Here is an 8,546-nt window from a genome sequence, read left to right on the forward strand (position 1 = left end):
CAGGGTGTCCTCTGACTCTGGTGCACACAGGGTGTCCTCTGACTCTGGTGCACACATGAGCTCTCACCAGTCCTGCTGGGACCAGGCTGCAGGCAAAGAACAAACACCTACTTAATGAACTGTGATGACAGAGGAGTGGCCATTTGCTTCCTCCAGTGCTGTCCATGCCAGCTCCTGAGCCCATTTGTCACTTCCTGGGGACACAGCTGACTCATAGAGCACTGGCAGTAATCTTGGCCTGGGAGAGGTGGGAAACAGAAGGCTTGGATAAAAGCAGGTGGAGCTGGTGGCTGCCTAGGTAATATGATGGGAATTTTTGTCCACTGACCTGTCCACAATTCTTGGAATTCTGCTAGAACTCAGTATCCAATCCACTTGGTTCTGAAAGGTTTTTTTTGATTTTTGACCTTCAGCTCGCTCACTAATGTGAATGTTTGGAGGAGGATACCACTGTTTAGAAACATAATTTAGCATATTAAAAAAGACTCACAAAAAATCTCAAAATGGCAAAATCAGGTTATAGGTGTTAGGCCCTGGATCTCATTTTATCCAGAATTGTTCCATCTCTGAAATGACAAATTCATACACTCTAGAGCATGACACATAGTCTTCTAACCTTCCCACTGAGTTACCCATATTACACTGCCCTTCAGCCTCCTGGAGACCTCTTTTTCTTTTTAAAAAAAACTTTTATTTTGGGTTCAGGGGTATGGAGATCTCTTTTTCTATGAAAGGATCACAGTCTGTATCTGCCTTAAGATATAGTCATAGACAACCGTTATTCAAAGTAAGGGGCCATAAGTTTGGACGCCATGGCTCATGCTTGTAATCCCAGCACTTTGGGAGGCCGAGGCAGGTGGATTGCTGGAGCCCAGGAGTTCAAGACCAGCCTGGGCAACATGGCGAAATACAGAAAACTTCAAAAATTAGCTGGGCATGGTGGCACACATCTATGGTCCCAGCTACTCAGAAGACCGAGGTGGGAGAATCACTTGACCCCAGGAGGCAGAAGATGCAGTGAGCTATGATCGCACCACTACACACCAGCCTGGGCAATAGAATGAGAACCCATCTCAAAAAAAAGGTAAAGGGCCATGATTGTATGTCTATTTGTGTGTGTATGATTTTATCACTTTATTTGACAATCAGTGGTTGGCTCTCACCCACATTGACTGTCTATAGATGTTTGAAAGTGGTCACAGGTACATAGTTAAACCAAAGTATAGAGTTTGTTTGCTGAACCTTCACCCTCATTATGTTTTCTGCACGATAAACATGGATGTGGTACGGCCCTTCCTTTCACCCAGACATTTGTTGAGCCTAGTATTAGTGCGTACATCTGGAGTCCCCATCTCCATCATGGCAGATTTCTGGATCTCTCTTGAGTGCCTGAGGGGTATTCTTCTTGAAGCCCACTCCATGGATGCACCTGTGAATGTTGATGGTGTATCCTCAGGTCACTGCCTCATTGATGGCAGAATGACCCCCCTTTTTCTGGCTACCCTTTTTGCAGGAGTCATTCTGCTGGGCCCAAGTGGGAAGCCATTATATCCTCTATTACCTACCTTTCAGTTTAAGAAAATATTACTGTGATAGGCTGAAAAATGCTCTTCCAAAGCTACCAGGTCCTCATCTCTGAAGCCTGGAAATGTTCAGTTTGGAAAAAATGTCATAGCAGATATGATTGAGTTAAGGCTTTTTTTTTTCCTTTGTGACAGAGTCTCACTCTGATGCCCAGGCTGGAGTGCAGTGGTGCAGTGATGCAGTGGCTCACTGCAACCTCCGCCTCCTGGGTTCAAGCAATTCTCCTGCCTCAGCCTCCTGAGTAGCTGGGATTACAGGCGCGTGCCACCAAGCCCAGCTAATTTTTGTATTTTTAGTAGAGATGGGGTTTCGCAATGTTGGCCAGGCTGGTCTCAAACTTCTGACCTCAAGTGATCCACCTGCCTCAGACTCCTAAAGTTCTGGGATTACAGGCGTGAGCCACCGCACACAGCCGAGTTAGACTTTTGAAGTAGGGAGATTATCCTGGATTATCCAGGTGGGCCCTAAATGTAATTACATGTATTCTTTTGGAGACAGGCAGAAGATTTCACACTTGACACACACACAAACACACACACACACACACACACACACACACACACAGGCCCTGTGAAGACAAGCAGATTTGAAGATTGGAGTGTTGTGGCCACAAACCAAGGAATGCCAGCAGCCACCAAAATACCAAAAGTTGGAAGAGGTAAGGAACAGATTCTCCCCTAGAGCCTTCACAGCCCTGCCCACACCTTCATTTCGGCCCAGTGATACTGATTTTGGACTTCTGGCCTCCAGAACTATGAGAGAATACATTTCAGGTGCTTTAAACCACTGAGTTTGTGGTCATTTGCTACAGCAGCCACAGAAACTAATGCAGTTACCCATGCAATGAAAGCCACTGGTGTTCCTCTACTGAAATGCCGCCCTCTCTCTCCACTCTCCGGAGGGAACCAGGACCTTGAATTTGGTGTTTATTATTTCCTGCATTTCATTTTACTTTATTGCATATTTATGTATTCTGAAATAATGTCGTTTTATATATTTCATACTGTATCCTGTATATTGCTTTTTGCCCAACGTATTTTATAGATTATATATGTTGATACATGTAGCTCTAATTTTCTCTGTAGCATAGTATTCCATGGTGTGTATGCGTACCTGCACATATGTGTGCATGCTACAATTTTTTTTTTTTGAGACAGAGTTTCCCTCTGTCGCCCAGGCTGGAGTGCAGTGGCGCCATCTTGGCTCACTGCAAACTCCACCTCCCAGATTCCAGTGATTCTCGTGCCTCAGCCTCCCAAGTAGCTGGGATTACAGGTGTGCGCCACCATGCCCAGCTAATTTTTGTATTTTTAGTAGAGACGGGGTTTCACCATGTTGGCCAGGCTGGTCTCAAACTCCTGGCCTCAAGTAAACTGCCCACCTCGGCCTCTCAAAGTGCTGGGATTATAGGCGTGAGCCACTGTACCCAGCCCACAATTTTTAAATCAGTTCTTCTGTTAATGAACATTTAGGTTGTTTTTGGTTTTTCTGTCTTTCAAACAGTGCTGCAGTGAACATTTCCGTATGTATCTTCTTGTGCTTATGTGCAGAAGTGTTTCTAGGATATTTACCAGAGAAGAGAATTACTAGGTCATCCTCAGCTTTACTAGTTTTTGCCAAATTGCTCTGCGAAAGAGCAGATGTGGGTTGGATTTTGGCAGCAGGACATTTCAACAAAAGGAGTGATGTGTACTAAAGGTACAGACAGGGGAGGCATGGGAAGTGGTCATTAGTTTTCTTTGAAAAAGCAGTGGTTCTCAGTCAAGTCAGGGAAGCAGGTTTGAATCACCCTGGAGAATGTTTTGCAACCTTTTGCCCTCTGTCTCCCCATCCTGGGATGTCTTCCCAAGGAACCAATATATTTCCCCCCCGGGTAATTGCGACATGCTTTGGTTGAAAACCAAAAATGGCTGCCTGAGAAGGAGCCACGGGAGAAGAGGCAGGCAAGTTGGGTGGCGAGGACTGAGATACCCAGCCAGGAGGATGCATGTCAATCAGGGGTCACAGAGAGTCTCTAAGCAGAAGCTGAGCACCTTCCCCTCTACAGATACCCAGAGGCAGCATTAGGGCTACAGCACCCGTAGACCAAGAGCTCTGGGGTAGAGTTTAACCACATGTATTACGCTCAGCTTTGATAGCTCTTTTCTCAAGTCTTCCAACCTTGTTCACTGAGAGAGTCACTTTATAATGCAATGAGCTGTTGTTCCTCCTGGATCTCTGGGTGTACTGAAGATGCTGAAGGTTGGCTTTTTAATATTTTAATTATAATTAGCATACTAGGAAAACTCCGGGGAATAAAATACAGTACTTTCTTGCATTTATAGACTATAATATGGAATATGAGTAAAATATACATATCCCCAAGGAACCAGATATACATCAAAATAATTAAGTGGGGGCATAGCTTGGGGGTAGAACATTTGACTGCAAAATAACATATACATTGGTAAGGTTTAGAAAGACACAAAACAATCTACAGGGTTGGTCTTATAAATAAGTCTGTGGCTTATTGTCCCTAAAAATGATATAAGACTCCCTCTTTGTCAGCAAAATCTCACCTTATTTGTCATATACAAAACTATAAGACTAAATGTTTGACCTAGAAGAGTTGTTAGAGAGATCTGGTGGAGTGAGTGGCTAATGAGTGGGGTCAGGGCTAGCGCTGGGCCCACTCTCAGTACCTCCCACCACACTGCTCCTTAGCATTATCCAATGATTAGTTCAGATCGCCTTATTCTGCTGGAAGTGTTAGGGAACTCTTGAGTCTATTTGAATGTTGTGTTTACTCGAAACATTGATTGTAGCATGAAAGTTGACCATATTTAACAAATATAAAAAATTGTAGTAGTTTCTCACTACCAAGGTGAAAATGATTGCTTTTGGGGTGGAAACCTGTTATAAAATAAAACAATGTTTAGACAACTACAAAAATAAAAACTTTCAGCCAAGCACAGTGGCTCACATCTGTAATCCCAGCACTTTGGGAGGCTGAGGCAGGTGGGTCACCTGAGGTCAGGAGTTCGAGATCAGCCTGGCCAACATGGTGAAACCCCGTCTCTACTAAAAATACAAAAATTAGCTGGGCATGGTAGCGCACGCCTGTAATCCCAGCTACTCCGGATGCTGAAGCAGGAGAATCGCTTGAACCCGGGAGGCGGAGGTTGCAGTGAGCCGAGATCACGCCGCTGCACTCCAGCCTGGGCTTAACAAGAGTGAAACTCCGTCTCAAAAAAATAAATAAATAAGTGAATAAAATAAATAAAAATAAAAATAAAAACTTTCTAAATTACTTGATATCTTTCTTAATGTCTCCTAGAAAAGTGTATAGAGAACCTTTTTGGTAGTAAATAAAGATCACTTTAATAGAGAAATTTTAAACTACAACACATCCTATATTCACAAACTAGTACATCTCAGCTGTTCCGTGGATGTGGTGGGATAGGATAATAGTCCAGAAAGGTCTCAAAGTCTGAGGTAGTTGCTGGAAGAAGAAGCCTATTTCTTTGGACACCTGACTTACGAGAGGGTCAGGCTGAACTAGAAGGAGGTTTTACGGTCTGAAGTTTTAGGGCCTCCACTGTAAGTAGCAGCCGCAAAACTATAAGAGGGGGAGAAATTACCCATAATTCCACCACGCTAACACATTAATTGCCTTCATTTCCTCTGTTCACTTTTAGTTCTTAATTTTATGCCATCATTTCATGAGGCTATAAATACAGCATAGTTAAAATGCAGCATTCTTTCACTCAACATTATATTGTGAACGCTTTTGTCTGAGGACTATTCTGGTTGCAAGGAAGATTTACTCAGTCAAGTTAAATTGTCTCAGAAAATAGTTGTGTGTACGTGCCTAATCTTAGAGAAACCAAGGACAGGCGCCTAAGCTGGCTAAGCTCCCCAGGAATTGGTGCTAGGGCAGGGAGAGCCAACAGCTACTGAAGCTGCTGTCGGGGGCCTTGGGTGGGCGGGGGGATCTCTGCTTACCCTGCGTTTCTGTTCCGCACACATCACTTCAGTAGTGCATGGCCGGTAGTGGCCACTACAAGCCACATGACCTTGCAGTACCAGAGCTTTCAATGATCCTCTTTCCAGACTGCTTAAAGTCAAACTCTTATTTGATTGTCTCAGTTTATCATTTCCATCCAGCGAGGCCATAGAAGTCAGAGGTTTCTGTTCAGCCTGTGGATTGGCTGTTGCTAGCTCAGGTGGACACATATTGGTCCAATCAGGGGTGGCTGGGGAGGTAGAGCCACATGCTTTAGATTCTAGCTCTGCAGGGCAGTGAGGCCGTGCGCTGGGACCCCCCTACCTCCCCCGGCAGTGAGTGTGGCTTCGTAGTTCTTACAACTACAAATGTTCATGAACACATGACATCACATCAAGTGGCTGTTTCATGATTTATGACCCTTCCTCTGCTGTTAGCTTTAGTTTATCGCCCCTTTCAGCTTGGGGACGGCTACAATAAAACTATGAACATTTTTGGGCATACTTCTTCCTTTTCATCTTCCAGATTATATAAAATAATCTTTAAATTCCATAGATTACATTCTCTGAGCACCTCCAGAACAGAAAACATAACCTTGCAATTTTTTCTTGTTGTCTAAAAAGGGTCTGTATTTGCTAGAGATTTCTACTGAAGTCGCTATGGGCAAAATAATAGGATGTGATACGTGGGATCTGCTTCAAAGCACTTTAGGAAAAAAGTTAGGGGGTGCTGAAAGCTGAAGCAAGATTGATGAAATCTCTAGCAAATACACTTTTTAAACAACAACAAAAAATTGCAAGGTTATGTTTTCTGTCCTGGAGGTGCTCAGAGAATGTAATCTCTCTGGAATTTAAGATGATTTTATATTTTATATATACTGCTGGAGCTGATGATGGGTGCGTGAGATTTATGATACACTTTGCCTCTGTTTTGTGGTTTATGTCCTACTTCCTTTCTCTTTCTCTCCCCTCTGGATTTTTTTGTTGTTAGTCCCCATGTTTCCTCTAGACATTTGGTACTCACATACTGCCCTGTGATTCCCCCAAATTTTTCTCAGGTTCGGTTACCCCTGACACCTGCCTCATAAATTCCTTTTCCTTCCTTACCAAAAACTCCAGTCCATTTGTCTATCTACCTATTCAGTAATTCATTCACATAAAAAAAAATGAACCTATGTGTTGGTCAAGACATGAAAAATGTTGCAAAATATAGTGACATTCATTGTTTTAGATGTTACTAGACAGCTATGAAGAGGAACGAAATCACAACTTATTTTGTAGCCTGAGATAAAAGCCAGCTCCCCAGAGCAACACTCAGGAATAACTGTCTTTCAGCAGAGGAGCCAAATGCCCTCTGGCGGGGGGCGGTGGGGCCAGTGTGTCAGAGTGTAGGGTGTGGCCGCAGGCAGAGCCCAGGAGAGGCCCTCCTCCCTCCATGCCCACCTCCTCCTCACTGCCTTTTTGCTAACGGCTTTCAGCCTTTTGGGATTTAGAATTGGAAGCTATATTCTGAGGTCGTATTTATTTAGTTAAATGAAAATTGTATATATTAAAATCCTTGGGATTTTTGTAATCATTAAAGCATCAAAGAGACTCGAGTGCTCCAGAAAATGAACATTTCATATTCATGCTAAGAAAGCAAAAATCTAATGAAATGGCTGAATTTTCTATTCATTTCCCAAAACATTAGTAAATTGTCAGTTATGTGAGCTAAGTTAAATTACAGGGCGATCATTCTGAGGTCTTTCTGGTTTTACAAGTCACAATGTTAAAAAACAAACTCAAGGAGGTTTTTTTTGTTTTTGAAATGGAGTCTCGCTCTGTCATCCATGCTGGAGTGCAGTGGCGCAATCTCGGCTCACTGCAACCTCCGCCTCCCGGGTTCAAGCGATTCTCCTGCCTCGGCCTTCTGAGTAGCTGGGACTAAAGGCGCCCGCCACCACACCTGGCTAAGTTTTGTATTTTTAGTTGAGACAGGGTTTCACCATGTTGGGCAGGCTGGTCTTGAACTCCTGACCTCAGGTGATCCACCCGCCTTGGCCTCCCAAAGTGCTGGTATTACAGGCATGAGCCACCGCGCCCGGCCACAAAGACGTTCTTGAGACCTGTTGGTCCTGGGAAATTGGAGTGCTCATAGGTGTAGCTGCACAACCCTACTGCCCACCTGTGTCTGGCAGGGGTTGGGACTTTCCTGGAGCTCCCTGGCACCCTCTGTGTGCCTCTGCCTTTGCATTCTTCACCTTGGATTATAACGGCATCTTTATTTGTTTCTCCCTCACTAGACTGTGAGCTTCTGTGGGAGGACAGGGATTCTGTATTTTTCAATGCCTGGAATGCGATTGGGCTTCCGTAAATATCAGTTGAATGAAAGACAACATATATATATGTATTTTTTTCCTTAAAAGAAACTCCCTATGTTCTTCCTCATAGATTCTCCTCTTCCTTACATAAACCCCTAGATGGGTTCATTCTTCAGCCTGGCTCTGAAGACCCGAGGAGAAAGTAAACACTTCAAAGAAACTGCCCCACAGGGACTCCGAACGCCCAAGTAATTCACCCTGAAAGCAGCATCTACTCCAGAACGGGGGCATCTGGATTCAGGTCACCCAGAATACGCCTTTGCCATCAGCTTCCCCCACTCCAGAAACAGGATTGTTACCTTTAAATGAGGACAATTCAGTGCTTGGTTTTTTTCAACATAACTGCTTAAGGATTTTTTTTTCTGTTTTTCTTTTTAGAGGCAGGGTCTTGCTCTGTTGCCCAGGCTGGAGTGCAGTGGTGCCATCATAGCTCACTGTACCCTCGAATTCTTGGGCTCAAGTCATCCTCCTGCCACCACCTCCTGAGTAGCTAGCACGGGTGTGCACCACCATACCCAGCTAATTTTAAAAACATTTTTGTAGAGATGAGGTCTTGCTATGTTGCCCAGACTGGTCTTGAACTCCCGGCCTCAGGTGATCCTCCTGCCTCAGCCTCCC

General features: G+C 44.2%; 1 pseudogene; it reads right to left on the minus strand.

The window, feature by feature from the left end:
• On the minus strand, positions 1,155–1,520 carry RPL31P64 (ribosomal protein L31 pseudogene 64; annotated as a pseudogene).

The sequence above is a fragment of the Homo sapiens genome, chromosome 3, assembly GCF_000001405.40.
Source record: "Homo sapiens chromosome 3, GRCh38.p14 Primary Assembly".
In the NCBI taxonomy this organism is placed as follows: Eukaryota; Metazoa; Chordata; class Mammalia; order Primates; family Hominidae; genus Homo; species Homo sapiens.